Genomic DNA, 18,758 nt, shown 5'->3' on the forward strand with positions numbered 1-18,758 from the left:
CCCCCATCCTTCCCACCTGTTTGTCCATCTTCTGTCCACTGTTCCTTTCAAATCACCTCTGCTTGGGGAAAACCCTGTGAAACATGCAATGATGACCTCCGGCTTCGGGGCTGGCATGAGATGGAGATGATGTTGTGGGAATCTGCCTGCCCACTGGCTTATCAGGGCAGAGCCACATCATTTCTTTTTATCCTGGCTGCTGACAGACAAGTATAGTCTTGTCTTAAGTACACCACTATAAATCCTGCTGCCCCCCTTTTTAACTGTCAAGTGTAGAGCATTCTCACTCAGCAGTAGTGAATGCTTCAAGACAGTTAGTGTCCTGGGATCTTTTCATTTGTTGTCATATAAGTACCATGTCTTCAAAAATCAGTGTCTCGGCTGGGCGCGTTGGCTTGCGCCTGTAATCCCAGCACTTTGGGAGGCCGAGGCGGGCGGATCACCAGGTCAGGAGATTGAGACCATCCTGGCTAACACGGTGAAACCTCGTCTCTACCAAAAATACAAAAAATTAGCTGGGCGTGGTGGTGGGCACCCGTAGTCCCAGCTACTCTGGAGGCTGAGGCAGGAGAATGGCGTGAACCCAGGAGGCGGAGCTTGCAGTGAGCCGAGATTGTGCCACTGCGCTCCAGCCTGAGCAACAGAGTGAGACTCCGTCTCAAAAAAAAAAAAAAAAAAATCATTTTCTCAACCTAATAGCCTTTTGCTTTAGTTGACCATGGTGATGGTGAATTTTTGTTTAACATTGAAGAAGTTCAATGGGTTTACCCTCCATAAACCAACCAGAAATGGCTGTGTCAGTAGCAAAGATTCTAGAACTCGTTCTTCCCATTGCCTCTCACACCTGGCTATCTAAACTCTCCCCTGGTTCTGGCACAGCAGTCTGTGGAGAGAACTCCCGCAGACCCTTGTCTTGAGTTCACCTCACTAGAGATCAGTTGCTTTGCTTACTAATGTTTTTTATTTGTTTATTTTATTTAAAAAAAATTTTTTTTAGAGTTGGGGTCTTGCTCTGTCGTCTATGCTGGAGTGCAGTGGCATGATTATAGCTCACTATAGCCTCAACCTCCTGGGCTCAAGTAATCCTCCCACCTCCGCGCCCCAAGTAGCTAGAACTACAGGCACGTGCCACCACACTGAGCTCATTTTCTTTTATTTTTGTAGAGACAGAGTCTCCCTATGTTACCCAGGCTGGTCTTGAACTCATGATCTTAAGTGATCCTCTTGCCTTGTCCTCCCAAAGTGCTGGGATTATAGGTGTGAGCCACTGACCCAACCTGTTTTTTTGGTTTTTCTTTTATGGGGGTTTTTGTTTTGTTTTGTTCTGTTTTGTTTGGTTTGGTTTTGAGACAGAGTCTCAGTCTGTCACCCAGGCTGGAGTGCAGTGGCGTAATCTCGGCTCACTGCAACCTCTGCTCACTGCAACCTCCGCCTCCCAGATTCAAGTGATTCTCATCTCTCAGCCTCTCAAGTAGCTGGGATTACAGACGTGCACCACCGTGCCTGGCTAATTTTTGTATTTTTAGTAGAGACAAGGTTTCGCCATGTTGGCCAGGCTGGTCTTGAACTCCAGGCCTCAAGTAATCCTCCTGCCTTGGCCTCCCAAAGTGCTGGGATTACAGGCGTGAGCCACCATGCCCAGCCCCAAGCTGTTTTTTACTTGAGTAAAAAAAGGAGATCTATCAAATACTGAGGTTCAGTTAAATTTAAATTTAAACTTGAGCTTTTTAAAGCGTTTTTTGAATTCTATACATTTTGATTGTTGTAGCAAATGGACACTAAAAACTAGACAGTCATTTGTGTCTCTCTGTGATACAAGAGAATGCACAAGACCTGAGTATCCAGAAGGTTGGGGGAGCCCAAGTGGTGTATGAAGGTGCTGGCCACCAGCAGGTGGAGTTGGAAGGGCTCCCTAGTACCATCTGCGCCCACCCCTGCCCAGGGCTAGGCTCTTCCTGCATGGCTTGCTGCCTCACGAGATGGCTCCTTCCTCTCCTGTACAGTCCCAGAGTAGAAGGTTCTTCCTTGTAGTAAACCACAGCCTCTCTCCCATTCAACTCTATTTTCCATTTCATATTGGTCCTGCAAAAAGCAAAGTCTTTGAGGCCCAGTGACACTCAGTTTTAGGCTAGGTTGACTACAAATTAAATACTTGGAAAGCAACTCTTAATTTTCCCATTGACTTCCGTTAGAACATTGGAAGATATCTGGATCTGCAGACTCTGCTAGACTGGACTGAAACATTTTGGGTGAGAGAGGAACTAAGAAGGCCACCCTTGGTACTGGCATGTGAGGTGTGGTTGAGCCAGGGAGCTGAACCTATGGAGTGCTTCCTCCTCCAACAGTTTGTGGCTGCTTTTGTAGTACTCAGCATTTCCCCTAACTTTCACCACTCATGGAGGACTCCCAGGTTCCCACGTGGGACTCCTGGAGCTCTGTACTGCACCTGGGTTTGTCTGAGATTTACAATGTCTAATACACTTCACCTAGGCTGTCATTTTTTCATTATAAACTAGAATCAGAGATATTGTATTGCATCCTCAGATTTTCCTGAGTGGTATTTAAGTTGCTATTATAGTGGTACTATAAAGTCAGGATTCCATATATTCAGTCTACATAGGATAAAAATGTCTATGTGACACCAGGTGTGGTGGCTCATGCCTGTAATGCCAGCACTTTGGGAGGCCGAGGCAGATGGATCACCTGAGGTCAGGAGTTCGAGAACAGCCTGGCCAACATGGTGAAACCCCATCTCTACCAAAAATATAAAAATTAACCAGGCATGGTGGCACACACCTGTAATCCCAGCTATTCGGGAGGCTGAGGCAGGAGAGTCACTTGAACCTGGGAGGCGGAGATTGCAGTGAGCTGAGATCATGCCATTGCACTCCAGCCTGAGCAACAAGAGCAAGACTTTGTCTCAAAAAATAATAATAAAATAAATCTATGTGACAAAATCTATGACTTAATATCTCTGTGTCTTGATTTTTTATTTAAGATGTTTTCTTATCAAATTAACACATGCTTGTTTAAAAATATTTGAAAAAATAGAAAAGCTGGAGGAAAAGGAGTCATCTATGGCAACACCTAAAACTAAAATAGCTGTTAACCTCTTCCTGAATCTCTTTTGGGTATACAGTGTATACTTGTTTTTTGTCTTTTTTTTAAAAAATGGGATCATAAAATACAGTTTTGTAACCTATTCCTAATCTCCTGTTGTAAATGTAGTCAGCCCTCCATATATGTGGGTTCTGTATCTGTGGATTCAACCAGCCACAGTTTGAAAATATTTGAAAAAAAAAATTGCATCTGTACTGATGATGTATAGATTTTTTTTTTTTGAGACAGAGTCTCGCTCTGTTGCCCATGCTGGAGTGCAGTGGCACGATCTCGGCTCATTGCAAGCTCCGCCTCCCGGGTTCACGCCATTCTCCTCCTCAGCCTCCCAAGTAGCTGGGACTACAGGCGACCACCACCACACCCAACTAATTTTTTCATATTTTTAGTAGAGACAGGGTTTCATCGTGTTAGCCAGGATGGTCTTGATCTCCTGACCTTGTGATCTGCCTGCCTTGGCCTCCCCAAGTGCTGGGATTACAGGCGTGAGCCCCCACACCCAGTGGATGTATAGATTTTTTGTTCTTGATATTTTTCCCTGAACGATACAGTATAACCACTATTCACTTAGTATTTACATTGAATTAGGTATTATAAGCAATCTAGAGATGCTATAAAGTATAGGGGAGGATGTGTGTAGGTTATCTGCAAATACTGCACTGTTTTATATCTGGGACTTAAGCATCTGCAGATTTTGGTATTCATGGGGGTCCTGGAACCAATCTCTCGCAGATATCGAAGGACAAGGCTATCATGTGTTTCTAGTGTCTGCTTAGCTAGCTGGCCCAAGCCCCTAGATCATGCAGAGACACAAGCTTCACAAAGCCCTCTTCTCTGAGACTGGGCAGGCTGTTTCTAAGCTGTTTTGCATGGCTCTTTTTGCTACTTCGGATTTACTTGCAGAGGTCTTCTCATTAATTTTTCTTAGCTTTCGTCTGTTTATTTTGTCTGTCTGTTCACCATTCCCATCCTTTGGCCTTTTCCTCAGCCATGTTAACAAGGCAGGTGTAGGGCAGTGGGGCCCCAGCTGGAGTCCAGGTATCTGCCCCAGGGTTGAGTCTGCATTCAATGGGGTGACCATAGGGCCCCATCTGTTACTTGGTCTTAGCTGCCCTTTTGGGAGCCACGTCCCTAGCTGTCATGCCTTGGGAAGGTGAGTTTACCTGGGCACATAAGCATAGTTCTGAGAGCAGCCTCTCCTTCTCTCAGTCAATCGGCACACTCTCTTTTCTGCTTTCAGGGCAAGTTTCTGGCTTTTTATCAGTATGCAAAATCATTTAACTCAGATGACTTTGATTATGAAGAGCTGAAGAATGGAGACTACGTCTTCATGAGGTGGAAGGTAAGTTCCCACCAGGTGGCCCTCCAGACTCCCAGCAAGCCAGGCCCTGTATCGCACCTACATATTCACTCTAACCAAGGGCTCCCCATGTCCAGTGCTCGTCACAGCTGGTTGTCATGGCAAAGTCTTCATGGCAGGGTCTTTGCACGCCTATAAAAAGTGGGCCCAGCTCCAGGGCACGCACTGGTTAACTGCCGATGTCCCAGACAGCTCCTCCTCGCTGTGCTTTTGGTGGGTAGCAAGTGGATTTGGGCCTAGGTGGCTGCCTCTAACATTGTCTTCTCCCTTTCCTTTCTCCCACCCAAGAATCTTGTTGAACCCCCAAGTTGAATCACTCCAAGTGTTCTGTGGATTCAAGGCAGAGCCAAACTTGCTTTGAACTTAGTCATCAGTTGTACCCAGATCCCTCTACAGGCTTAAACACCATCCGTGGGCCAGGTGCCCTCCACCACATCCTTTTCCCAGAGCTCAGGAAAGTCTCACCTCCTCTACTTCCCTCCAGCTCAGGAAATGAGGGACCGGGAATGGAACACGGGTTTTTGACTCAGCAGACCTCAGAGAGCCCCACCTGACTGACTTGATGGATTGGCTTTTAGCTGCGAGGTCATTTGTGCTCCCTGCTTTGATAACGTGATATTTACAGCCCCAGAATAGCAAAATCAGGAAGCCAGTTTGTTAAATAACTTTGAGAACATACCAACCCCTAGTCCCCAGTCTGCAGGGAAAAAGTCGTTTTATCTTGAAATCTTGTCAGCTTTCATAAAGATGAATCATATTGAGTTGCCTTTCCTGGTCTTTATTTTGCATAGCTAACCACTTTAGGAAGTGGGGATCGGCCGGGCGTGGTGGATCACACCTGTAATCCCAGCACTTTGGGAGGCTGAAGCAGGCAGATCATGAGGTCAAGAGATTGAGACCATCCTGGCCAACATGGTGAAAACCCATCTCTACTAAAAAATACAAAAAATTAGCCGGGCATGTTGGCATGCCCCTGTAGTCGCAGCTACTCAGGAGGCTAAGGCAGGGGAATCACTTGAACCTGGGAGATGGAAGTTGCAGTGAGCTGAGATCACGCCACTGCACTCCAGCCTGGCGACAGAGCAAGACTCCATCTCAAAAAAAAAAAAAAAAAAAAAAGAAATGGGGATCACTGGGCGCGGTGGCTCATGCCTGTAATCCCAGCACTTTGGGAGGCCAAGAGAGCCAGATCACGAGGTCAGGAGTTCGAGACCAGCCTGGCCAATGTGGTGAAACCCCGTCTTTACTAAAAATACAAAAATTAGCCAGGTGTAGTGGTGCACGCCTGTAATCCCAGCTACTCGGGAGGCTGAGGCAGGAGAATCACTTGAACCCAGGAGGTGGAGGTTGCAGTGAGCCAAGATTGCGCTACTGCACTCCAGGCTGGGTGACAGAGCAAGACTCTGTCTCACCAAAAAAAAAAAAAAAAAAAAAAAGAAGTGGGGATCACCACTCTTCCAGTAGGTTGCCAGATGCAGAGAGTAAACAGGGAACAGTATGCTCACGAGCTTGCCATCTAGCGGGAAACATGTCAACTAAACAACCTGTTAAAGGAAGTTTATTGTTTGAATTTTGTTTGTTTTGAGACGGAATCTCACTCTGTTGCCCAGGCTGGAGTGCAGTGGCACAGTCTTGGCTCACTGCAACCTCCGTCTCCCAGGTTCAAGCAAGTCTCCTGCCTCCGCCTCCTGAGTAACTGGGACTACAAGCGCGTACCACCACGCCTGGCTAATTTTTGGGTTTTTTTGTTTGTTTGTTTGTTTTTTGAGACAGTCTCACTCTGTTGCCCAGGCTGGAGTGCAATGGCGCGATCTCGGTTCTCTGCAACCTCCCCGTCCCGTGTTCAAGCAATTCTCCTGCCTCAGCCTCCCAAGTAGCTGGGATTACAGGTGCCCGCCAACATGCCCTGCTAATTTTTTGTATTTTTAGTAGAGACGGGTTTTCGCCATATTGGCCAGGCTGGTCTCAAACTCCTGACCTCAGGTGATCCACCCACCTCAGCCTCCCAAAGTGTTGGGATTGCAGGCATAAGCCACCACACCCGATCTGAATTTTAAAATTAATTTTAAAAGCCACAATTTTAGAAGTTGAATAAGGAATGGGAGGGTGTCTTAAATTTGTTTAAAAAGCAATGGGCTTGTTTTGCCTCCAAAGAATGTCTCAGAGTGGCTCATCTGTGGTCCTTTAGTAGACCACCTGAGGCCCTGGAGCTTCTGACCTCATCTCTCTGGGAAAGTAGGTGCCAGGACCTGGGTTTCCAGCTTTCAGCTCCAGCAGAGGTGGCAAGCTTGCCTCTCTCCTAAGGTCCCTGGTAAAGAACAGTACCGTTCTGACTGCTTTTGACAAGGCGTCAAGCTCTTGGAGGGGGTGTCACAGGGGCTACTGGCAACTGCTTTGCACTCAGAATGGTCCACAGACCTACAGAAGCGACTCACTGTTCTAGATGTTATCAAGCATCTGTTGACAGTTCTGAGAACTGGAGCAGAAACTTCGCTCTTCCCAGGTTGATTGTCTGTGGTCTCTGAAAGATAGAGAGGCAGGCAGACAGGCAGGTGAGTAGGTATTGATTTATATATTAGATGTTTCGGCCATGGTACCTTCTCTGAATTGCTGATCCTAGTGAGCTCAAGACACAGTTTGTCACTTTAGTATATAGAATACTCCAGGAGCACATGGACGCTTTTTAGAAGTCAGGCTGAGACCCCACGGGCCCGCCATCACCCAGCAAGTCTAGGTTAGACTATGAGATCCTATATTTTTCTCGAGTGGTCCTTAGAACCCCCTGATGCTTAACAGGGAGGCCCCGTGGGTGGTCAGAGAATGCTATCTGTTACTGACCCTCTTCATCTGTGTGCAGGAACAGTTTCTGGTCCCAGATCACACGATCAAAGACATCAGTGGTGCTTCTTTTGCCGGGTTCTACTACATCTGCTTTCAGAAGTCAGCAGCCTCCATAGAGGGCTACTACTACCATAGGAGTTCAGAATGGTGAGGACCTCTGAGGACAGAGGCCACGGGGAGGGCTTGCTGCCCAGCTGGCTCTCCCTTGGCTCATCAAACCCAAAAGCAACATCTTAGCCTGTCTCTGTATAGATTCTGTGCTTTATTTGGATGCTGAGAGCTTATTTCAGTGATCTCAGTTGCTCACAATAAGGCCTTATCCCTATGCACAGAGCAGAGTAAATGAGATGAAAATGAATTATAGGTGAAAGAACTCATTTCTAAGCACTTTTAAGCAATACTGTATTTTTGGCAATGTTTATCTCAATCTTGCTGGTTTTTATTTAATCCTTGCAAATTGAATTAGTAACTAAAATGTGAATTGATCCAGTACTGGACAATGTGAATTTTGCTGTCAGCAGCTTTTTAAATTTTGTGGCTGCATTCCTTAGAGTTGGTCCGACATGCACTTGATTTAAGGCTCATGACCTGGGGGCCTGTGAGTGGACAGTCCTGTCCAGTGTGTCACCAATAGTAAAGGACTGAACTCTGCCTGAATGCTAACTTTTGCCACCTTTTGAGGGATTCTCCTGCCTCCTTGCTGCTTTTTAAGCACCTTGCTGTCCCCGGAGGGCAAACCATGTGATAAAATGCCTGATTTCCTCTCTGAAGGTAAAAATTCTTTCTTTCCAGTATTTAACACTTTGTTATATGTGAAGTGATCCTACCCTAGATTCCTTGTTCAGTGGTAACGAAATTATATCTGCAAGTAAATGCCAGCCCTGTAGCCACGATTTTTAGGCTTTCAGTAATGGTTTTCACGCAAGTTTGTAAAACTTTTATAATCCTTTTTAAAAATAACAGCTGGCCGGGCACAGTGGCTCACGCATGTAATCCCAGCACTTTGGGAGGCCGAGGCGGGTGGATCACGAGGTCAGGAGATCGAGACCATCCTGGCTAACACGGTGAAACCCCGTCTCTACTAAAAAACAAAAAATTAGCCAGGCATGGTGACAGGCACCTGTAGTCCCAGCTACTCGGGAGTCTGAGGCAGGAGAATGGCGTGAACCTGGGAGGTGGAGCTTGCAGGGAGCTGAGATCGGGCCATTGCACTCCAGCCTGGGCGACAGAGCGAGACACCATCTCAAAAATAAATAAATAAATAAATAAATAAATAAATAAATAAATAAATAACAGCTTTGGTCCGGGCACAGTAGCTCACGCCTGTAATCCCAGCACTTTGGGAGGCCGAGGTGGGCAGATCACGAGGTCAGGAGTTCGACACCAGCCTGGCCAATATGGTGAAACCCCGTCTCTATTAAAAATACAAAAATTAGCCAGGCGTGCTGGTACGCACCTGTAGTTCCAGCTACTCAGGAGGCTGAGGCAGGAGAATCACTTGAACCTCGGAGGCGGAGGTTGCGGTGGGCCGAGATTGCACCACTGCACTCCAGCCTGGGCGACAGAGTGAGACTGCATCTCAAAAAAAAAGTGTACAAGTCAGTGATCTTTCCTATATTAATAGAGTTGTCTAACTATCAAGTTTAGAACATTTTCATCACCATAAGAGGAAACCCCATACCCTTAGCCATTATCCCAAACTCCTCATCCCCTCTGAGCCCTGGGCAACCACTAGTCTTTCTCTTATGTATGTATAGATTTGCCTATTCTGGGTATTTTATATAAATGGAATCTACAAAATACGGCCCTTGCTTCTGGCTTTTTTCACTTAGCATAATGCTTTGAAGGTTCATTCATGTTGTACCATGTATCAGAACTTCTTTTTTATTGCCAATTAATTTTCCATTACAGGTATATACAACTTTTTTTTTGAAACAAAGTCTCGCTCTTGTCCCCCAGGCTGGAGTTCAGTGGCACGATCTCGGCTCACTGCAACCTCCGCCTCCCAGGTTCAAGCAATTCTCCTGCCTCAGCCTCCCGAGTAGCTAGGATTACAGGCGCCTGCCACCACGTCTGGCTAAGTTTTGTATTTTTAGTAGAGACGGGGTTTTGCCATGTTGGCCAGGCCTGTCTCGAACTCCTGACCTCAGGTGTTCCACCCGCCTCGGCCTCCCAAAGTGCTGGGATTATAGGTGTGAGCCACCGTGCCCGGCCGGTATATACCACATTTTATTTATCCATTCATTATTTAGTGGACACTTAGATTGCTTCCATTGTTTAGCTCTTGTGAATAATGCTGCTGTGAACATGGGTATATCTGAGTTCCTGCTTTCAATTCCTTGGACATATACCTAGGAGTGAAATTGCTAGGTCATACGGTATTGCTATATTTAACTTTATGAGGAACTGCCAAACTGTTTCCCACAGCAGCTGCACCATTTTGCATTCCTACCGGCATGTATGAGGGTTCCAGTTTCTCCACATCCTCCCTGGCACTTGTTATCATGTCTCTATAATTATAGCTACCCTAGTGGATGTGAAGCAGTATTTCATTGTAGTTCTAATTTGCATATTTTTGATGGCTAATGCATATTTCTTTCCTGATAATTTGTTTTTGGTAAGAAATAAGCCGCTTTTTCCTACGTTCTTCCACACTCCTGTATGAAACAAGTAGGGGAGAGCCAACTTGCTAGACATTGACTCTAAATGTGCCCGAGGTTGTCATCCCAGCATGTAGATTGTCTGCCCCTATTTCTCCTCCCTCTGCATGACTCCCTGGATCACCTGCCAACAGGGGAGGCAAACACCTCAGATATCACTAATGTTTTCCAAGCCTAATACCGTACCTAGGAAAGTGAGAAAATTTAAATGAAAGGTAAAATACAGTTTAAGGCAGTAGTGAAATGAATTTTTCTACGCTCTCTTTAGATACCATGAGAATCAGTTTATGCCTATGCTAGCCATAAAGTTCTTAGGATATGAGAGCCTGGCATTACATGCTACAGCAGGAGAGGTCAGAGCAGCCGGTGAGGTTAGGGCTTGGGCGTGGGTCTCCATCTTCTCCCACAGCTTATTGAGGTCTCCTTTTTATAAAACATACCATAGTTAACTTCATGATTAGAGCAGAATGAAAAAAAACATTCATCTAGTGCATGGTTCAGGAGGATTAACCAAAAAAAGAAAGAATGAATGAAATCAAACTAGGTTCAACTTGAGAAATAGAAAATGAATGTGCATTTCAGTCCAAGTATGTGACTTGTTGGGTGCTCTGCTTTTTGAGGGGTTACTAATGTCCTTTGCTCAGGGTGCATTAGATGACTACCTCCCGTTTCTGTCTCCTCCCCCTTGCAGGTATCAGTCCCTCAATCTAACCCATGTTCCTGAACACAGTGCACCCATCTATGAATTCCGGTGACAACGGTTCAGAACAGCAACCAAATAAAACTGAACTTGGCAAAAAAGAACTTTGCCGAGAAAATTGTGTACCTGCCAGAACCAGGAGAAGTGTGTTCCTGTTTCTTCACGAGCAGACTCGCATCACAAAGCATGAATGTTAACCCACAGAATCCAAGGAGCATGGCTGGCCCGTGGGGCAGGTGGAGGGAGCAGTCTTCGTTCTTCCTCCCCTCAGTGGCAGTTTGGTCTTCACCTGTTTTTAAGCTACCTTAAACGCACTTTTCCTTCCTGCACAGCTAACTTCTACATCACTGAAATGCCCATTCCTTCCTCCGTCCCACCTCCAGCCGAATAGAAGGTCTGCTCCCGGATCACCCTCAGCCTTGGTGCTCAGTGGTCCCGAGGCCCTAGACCCCCACCCCCCGCCAGTTGCTTTGTCTGGTAGCTCAAGAGAAGGCAGAGCCCCAGCACCTCTGTGCCCCCCAGAGCTCTGTGCAGGGAGTTGGCCAGCTGCCGCATCATCGGCCACCAAGGGCACAAGAGGCGGAGGCTCCAGTCCCTGCTGGGCTGCCTCAGTCTTCAGTGCTGATTGTGTCACGGGTCAGCGTGCGCTGCTGAGCCCTGTACTGTTAACAGTGCAAAGCTAGTGAGTAGCTGTCAGGTTCCCTGGGCCTGCCATCAGGGATCACTAAATTTAAGGCTTCCAGATCCCTGGCAGGAACAGATTCCAGTCCTGCTTACTCAGTACATTTGCTCCAAACTTTTCAACTTGAGGGCAATACTAAACTTAAAAATAAGAGTTTTTTTATTACAAAATTATTTTTATGGTCCCTTTAACGAGGACCCTATGGCAAATGCACAATTATTCAGAATTACATTTTATCGTTTTCACATTGAAAACAGCAAATGTTGACTTAGTAATTTTTATATCGATATCTATATGTATATGTATATTTAATCAACCAGCAGTTTTGAAACTAGTCATCCTGGTACAAAAGTTTTGCAGCATTGCCTAAATTATAGTGCTCAACACAAGAACTGTTTTTGGGGCCAGTTTAGCATTTGTGCCGCCTCCTTTTGCTACTCAAAACAGCAATGCTTGGCGGCAGCCTTCCATGAGGCAGAAGGGGTCGTCGTTCTCTGAAAACAGTGACTCTGAAATGTTGGGACAGGGGAAGGGGTGGGAAACATGAACATGCTCAAATAACTCGAGGCTCACGTGCCAAAGTGTGTGTGTGTGTGTGTGTGTGTGTGTGTGTGTATGATGTTTTGTTTTTTTAAATGTTTTAAAAGCTTAATAGGTTGGCATCAGTTGTAGCCCACAAACATGGCTAGGGCTTTGGGGATTTGGCATTTTTCTGGTGGTTTACAAGACTTACTCCGAATACAAGAGGAAAAGCTTTAAAAACAAGATTGCATCATAACCCCCAGGAGCAAAGCAACCTGGAGGCTGCATATCCATGGGCGGGCAGCATAAGAGAATGTGAAGCCCTTCAGTGAGACGAGACGAGCAATGGGAAACCTTTTCTGTTCTTAAGAAGTGACTTTAATTTTATTGACATATGTACTGTATGTTACTGAGATTGAATGTTAGGGGAAGCCTTAAGGTAGAGGTATTTGGGAAAGTAGCCAGTGGGCACTTGTGATATCTAAAATCTGTTATCCCAGGACTGTGTACAGAGGGGCAACCTACCCATTCAGGAAGGTCAGGGCTTTGGAACCCTAAAAAGTTGGCCCGATGACTTAAAGGGAAAAATAATTCATTCCCAGAGATGAGTCAGAACAGTCTCCTCAATCCTGAAATTCAACAAGGCATCAGAAGGGCTGGCTGTGGTCAAGCCCAGCTGCTGTCATGTGAGGAGATGCTCACTGTGGTCTTGTTGAGCTGATGGCCTTGGTTGAGCTGATGGACAAGTGAAGGAGGCCATGGGGCTGTGCTGTCCTTCCTGCCGTACGTGCCATTCCACTCTCTTCAGCTCTCCCCTCAACAGCATGCGAGCCCATACCTTCTGCATTTTTCCAGGCCTGTGAGGGATATAGGCCTCCCCTTGGAGCACTGAGTCCGGAGGTCATCCCTGAGCTCATCCACGGCTCATGCTGTGGCTCCGAGTAGTGGTTTGAGTGGGCAGGAAGGGCCATTTGCAAACACTGCTGTGTTCTAGACAAACAACCCAAGTCCTATGGCAGGATTTCTTCCTTCCTTCCTTTTTTACCCAGGTGATGAAGTGCACCCATTGTACTGGGAAGAATGAAGAGGTGATACCTTTACTAGATCCTTCAGACACATCTATGAGAAGATTTGTTCATTTAAAAGTCTGCCCACTGAGGATAGGGAAAGGATTAAGGATTTTTCCACCTCCTCTTAGTAACTCCTGAATTACCAACATCAACTTCTTTCTCTCCGTTCCTGAAGGAACTTTGGGGAATCATCTTCATCCGTAGTTACGCTTTCCTGAACCTTCTCAGTGGTTTACATGCCTCTGAAACTATGTGCAATATTTTTGGTTGACACTTGTATCCATCCTTAAGAAATTAGTGCAGATTGCAGATGTTCTGTCTTCCATCCCAAACAAGCCTGCCATGAGGTAGGATCCTAGGGGTTTGGCTGTTCTTACTCCACTGCTCAGAAAGCTTCCATTCTGCTGTCCTCAGCCTCGACCCTCTTCTGTGCTGGACTTCCACCCACCCACCCTTTTCAAGTTTAGATAGTGTTTCAGCTGCTGTCCCAAAGTAACAAAACAATACCTACTGTTAAGTAGGAAGTCAATCTGTGTGCTGGTTTTGTTGGTTATGTGGAAATCACAAACTCCAGAGGAGCAAAGGGGTTTTTCAATGTCTTTTGCTTTCAGAAACAGAGAATATAATATTCTCACTAAGGCCTTGAATTGATTTTTTTCTCATAAAATAGTCTGATAAGCTAATTTTTAAAAAGAAATGCCATTAACTGTGTTGTATCGTGGTTTAAAATTACTAACAAGTTGTGGGAAAGAAAAATAATATTTGATTTTGAATCTTAAATGTTTTTAAAAATTAGACTTGAATGGGCACAAAGTATAAATATTTTGTTTCTTTATGGAGGACATGTGGAAGGAGTTTGAGGGTTTGGGATGGGAGAAGTATTTTGCAGAGCTATCAATGTCCAAATAATTTAAAAAAAAAAATAAAGGTATTTAAGCAGTGAGTTTGTCCTATTTGTAAACCAAAGCAGCTCCATTAGAGGAAAGCAGTCCTCTCTGGGCCTGTGGCTGTGGAGCTCTCCAGGGCCAGCCGGAGACCTCTGTGTGCCAGGGCAAACCGAGGGCCCCTCTGGGCAACTGTTGCAGTGGTCTGCTTGCTCCTTTTTCATTCTGAATGTTTTCAGCTGCTCAGCACTTCTATTCAAGCTCCATTTTGTTAATTTCTGTATTTCTTCAGAAATGTGGAAGCATTTTTTTTTTCCATATGTGAAGGGTTTATATTTCTATTTAACACAGAGAAAATGTGCAGGCAGAGGTATCTGTCCAAAGCCTGCTTTGTGTTCTGGTGTGGGGACAGGCAATGCTGTTGGGCTGCTCTCGACACTGTGACTGTGGTCCTCAGAGAAGATGCCTAAGTCTCAAAGCACAGGCACTTGGACCCCCAAATAGCAGGATCCCTAAATCAGCCATTACAGTTTATTCTGACAAACCATTCTGTTACGTTTCAGGTCCCACCTCCCTAGGAGGCTTGAAGGAACATGACTGGAAACATGGGAGATTTTGAGGAAACATATAAAGTGTTGAGGTCTAAATTTTAAGCAAGTTGAAATGCTAAGGGAATTTACATCAGTGGCAGGGCAAAGCTCCCCTGTTGTGTGTATTTTCTGATCTCATATTGTCTAAGCAATAATAAGCTTTTTTCTCCCATGAGATGTGGTGTCAATAAAAGAATAGACTGTTCACAGTGCTGGACTCAGGATTTAAGACACCATTTATTTTTATCTTTTGAGGCAAGCTCTCTATCACCAGGCTGGAGTGCAGTGGTGCTATCACAGCTCACTGCAGACTCCCAGGCTCAGGTGATCCTCTTGCATCAGCCTCCCAAGTAGCTGGCACCACAGGCATGCGACCACGCCCACCTAATTTTTTTTATTTCTGTAAAGATGGGGTCTCCCTATGTTGCCCAGGCTGGTCTTAACCTCCTGGGCTCAAGCTGTCCACCCACCTCAGCTTCCCAAAGTGCTGGGATTACAGGTGTGAGCCACCACACCCAGCCAAGACACCATTTATTGGCTGTTTTGTTGAATGGAAAAGTCATGGGAGGCCTGGGTTCCACCTATCAACCTTGGGTCCCAATCTGCCCTCAAGGTACATCAGCTAACCTCCCTGAGCCCAACTTCCCTCACCCAGAAAGTGGAAAACCTCTGTCTGGACTAAAGAATTGTTGAGGATTCTAGAAGATGCTCCTGAAAGCACATTGTAAATTGAATAAGAATAATTGTAAATTGAATAACATGTAAAAAGTTATTCTTGCTTAATAATAATATAAAAATATCTACTGGGCCAGGGTGCGGTGGCTCATGCCAGTAATCCCAGCACTTTGGGAGGCTGAGGTGGGAGGATCACTTGAGGTCAGGAGTTCGAGACCAGCCTAGCCAACATGGTGAAACCCCATTTCTACTAAAAATACAAAAACTAGCCGGGCATGGTGGCGGGTGCCTGTAGTCCCAGCTACCAGGAAGCTGAGGCAGGAGAATCACTTGAACCAGGGAGGCAGAGGTTGCAGTGAGCCAAGGTCGTGCCACTGCACTCCAGCCTGAGTGGCAGAATGAGATTCCATCTCAAAAAAATATAAATAAATAAAAAGTATCTACTGAGCCTTGCCACATGCACCATTGTAGGTATTGAGGGTGATGCAGGAATAAAACATGTCTACAACAGCTATAGCAACTCTCTTTCATATCTCGATTCTTAGATCCCCAATTTATAACCTTTAGTTAGCTTTGTTTTTAGGCCATCTATAGGAACTGTAGAAATAGTAGAAATTGTGTAGATTTTAAGTGTGAAACCAATTGCAAAACAGGACAAAAGGAAAACTATAAGAATGCTGTCGGCTGGGCGCGGTGGCTCACGCCTGTAATTCCAGCACTTTGGGAGGCCAAGGTGGGCGGATCACAAGGTCAGGAGATCAAGACTCATCCTGGCTAACACGGTGAAACCCCGTCTCTACTAAAAATACAAAAAGTTAGCTGGGCGTGGTGGCAGGCCCCTGTAGTCCCAGCTACTCAGGAGACCGAGGCAGGAGAATGGCGTGAACCCGGGAGGCGGAGCTTGCAGTGAGCCGAGATAGCGCCACTGCACTCCAGCCTGGGCGATAGTGCAAAGACTCCATCTCAAAAAAAACAACAACAAAAAAAGTGCTATCTCCACTCATCTGAACTGCACCTGGGAAGGGAAGCATTAAAATTGCTCAGTAATGAAATAGGCAGTAGGCTTTGATATATTTAAAAATAAAAATTAAAAAAAAAAGCCTCAAAGTTGGATTGCAGTTGAACAGCTTTTCCCTCCAGATTTTTCTTCCAAAACATCGAAAGATTGAAACTCCCTATTTGTACATAGCAGGGAAAACATGTAAGGCTTTTCATTTGTAGAGAAACATATGCTGGATTCAAGTTTATTTTTGCCATTTTTTTCCTTCTGATTTTTCAGTTCGCTTCATTTTTCAATGCATTAGTCATGGTTTCTCTCCATAATCGCTCCACAGCCCCTCCATCTTCATGCCTTCTCACTGGCTTGACCTGGAGCAGTGTTTCTGAAACCTGGCTGCACTTCAGAAGCACATGGGAGCTGATTTAATGTCAGGCAGCATGCAGACCAGTCCTCACAACCTGTCGATGTTTTTAAAGCTCCCCGGGTGACTCCAACGCACAGGAAGCTTTGAGCGTAACTAAGTGAGCCTCCCGCCCTGAAATGAGAGAAAGGCTTTCAGGCTTGTGGTGTTGGTGGACTAAGTGTGGCTTCTGGCCATTCACACAGTCACCACACTGCAAGGGAGCTGGGAACTGGAGCCTGTGAGAAGCCCCTGTGAACAATGTTCTCTGTCTTAAAACAGCTTACACGGACTTCTCCTTTTTACCTCTAAAAGATTCATTCCCCTTTCCCCAACCATATACCCCAGATTGCAACCCCTTGCTATTCTCAAATAAACTTTTTGTTTTGGAGTGTCAGTCTCTCTCTCGCTTATTTTAGCTTGATGTGAGTAGCTTGCAGAGTTGTGCTGCATAAGGAAAGAAAATAAATAGGAAGTAGCTGTCAGGGGAGTGGGCTAGAAATGGGTTGTTGGTTTGGTTATTTCTGCAGGGGGAGGGGTTTTCTGCAAATTATATGTAATGAGGCTTTGTTTATTGTGGTAAAATGTGTATTACATAAAATTTACCACTTTAACCACTCATAAGTGTACAGTTCAGTAGTATTAAGTACATTCACATTGTGTTCCTATCACCACTGTTTCCAGAAGTTTTCCATCATCCTAAAGAAATTCTGGACTCAGTAAACGCTATCTAAATCCCCATTCCTCCCCCTAGTCCTGATAACCACCATTCTATTTTCTGTCCCCATGAATTTGTCTAGATCCCTCATAGAAATGAAATCATAATAGTATTTATCTTTGTGTGACTGGTTTTTTTCACTTGTAGAATGTGTCAGAATTTCTTTCTATGCTATGGCTGATACTCCATTGTATGTATATAACACATTTTATCCATCTGTTGATGAACATTTGGGCTGTTTCTACCTTTTGACTATTATGCATTGTGCTGTTATGAACACTGGTTTGTGTGGTCAGTATCTGTTTGAGTACCTGCTTTCAAGTATTTTGAGTTTGTAACTAAGGAGTGGAATTGCTAGATCATATAATTCTATGCTTAACTTCTTGAGGAACACCAAACTGTTTCTCATAGTGGCTGCACCATTTTACATTCTCTCCAGCAGTACACAATGATTCCATTTTCTCCATATCCTCTCCAACACCTGTTTTCCTTTTTAAATTTTTTTTTTTTTTCTTGAGACAGAGTCTCACTCTGTCGCCAGGCTGGAGTGCAGTGGCACAATCTCGGCTCACTGCAACCTCCACCTCCCGGGTTCAAGTGATTCTCCTGCCTCAGCCTCCCAAGTAGCTGGGACTACAAGGCACGTGCCACCACGCCCAGCTAATTTTTGTATTTTTAGTAGAGATGGGGTTTCACCATGTTGGTCAGGTTGGTCTGAATCTCTTGACCTCGTGGTCTGCCCACCTCGGCCTCCCAAAGTGCTGGGATTACAGGCGTGAGCCACTGTGCCCAGCCTTAAAATTTTTATAATGGCCATCCTAATGGGTGTGAAGTGATACGTCACTGTGATTTTTGTTGTTGTTTTTCTGAGATGGTATCATTCTGTCACCTAGACTGGAGTGCAGTGGCTTTTCTTTTTTCTTTTTTTTTGAGACAGAGTTTTCCTCTTGTTGCCCAGGCTGGAGTGCAATGGCACGATCTTGGCTCACTGCAACCTCCGCCTCCCAGGTTCAAGCGATTCTCCTGCCTCAGCCTCCTGAGTAGCTGGGATTAGAGGCACCTGCCACCATGCCTGGCTAATTTTTGTATTTTTAGTAGAGATGGGGTTTCATGATGTTGGCCAGGCTGGTCTTGAACTTCTGACCACAGGTGATCTGCCCACCTCGGCCTCCCAAAGTGCTAGGATTACAGGCATGATCCACTGCGCCTGGCCGTGCAGTGGCATTTCTGCACTCCATAATCATGACTCACTGTGGCCTTGACCTCCTGGGCTCAAGCAATTCTCCTTCCTCAGCCTCCCAAGTAGCTGCGACTACAGATGCACGCCACCACACCCAGCTAATTTTTTTTCAAAATATTTGTAGAGACTGGCTCTCACTATGTTGATTTGCATTTACCTAATGATTAGTGATGCTGAGAAATCATCTCAAGTGTTTATTCAACATTTGTATATCTTCTTTGGAGAAATGTCTATTCAAGTCCTTTGCTTTTTTTTTTTTTTTTTTTTTTTTTTTTTTTTTGTAGAGACAGGGTCTCACT

At 45.3% G+C, this 18,758-nt stretch overlaps 1 protein-coding gene across 4 annotated transcripts in view; it reads left to right on the forward strand.

Annotated features, from left to right (window-relative positions):
- The window catches only part of GID4 (GID complex subunit 4 homolog), a 28,998-nt gene extending 15,103 nt beyond the window's left edge, over positions 1-13,895 (forward strand). Inside the window, exons 4-6 of one of the 4 annotated variants that reach the window (NM_024052.5) lie at positions 4,358-4,459; positions 7,335-7,465; positions 10,670-13,895. In NM_024052.5, the coding sequence (NP_076957.3) occupies positions 4,358-4,459; positions 7,335-7,465; positions 10,670-10,733 (297 nt within the window). In that variant the 3' untranslated portion in view covers positions 10,734-13,895. Of the gene's footprint in view, positions 1-2,192; positions 2,962-4,357; positions 4,460-4,765; positions 5,239-7,334; positions 7,466-10,669 lie in introns of those variants that run through there. The other 3 variants (XM_005256800.2, XM_011524008.2, NM_001411057.1) reach the window with 3 other exon arrangements.
- The last annotated feature ends 4,863 nt before the right edge of the window (positions 13,896-18,758 follow it).

The sequence above is a fragment of the Homo sapiens genome, chromosome 17 (genome assembly GCF_000001405.40).
Source record: "Homo sapiens chromosome 17, GRCh38.p14 Primary Assembly".
In the NCBI taxonomy this organism is placed as follows: domain Eukaryota; kingdom Metazoa; phylum Chordata; class Mammalia; order Primates; family Hominidae; genus Homo; species Homo sapiens.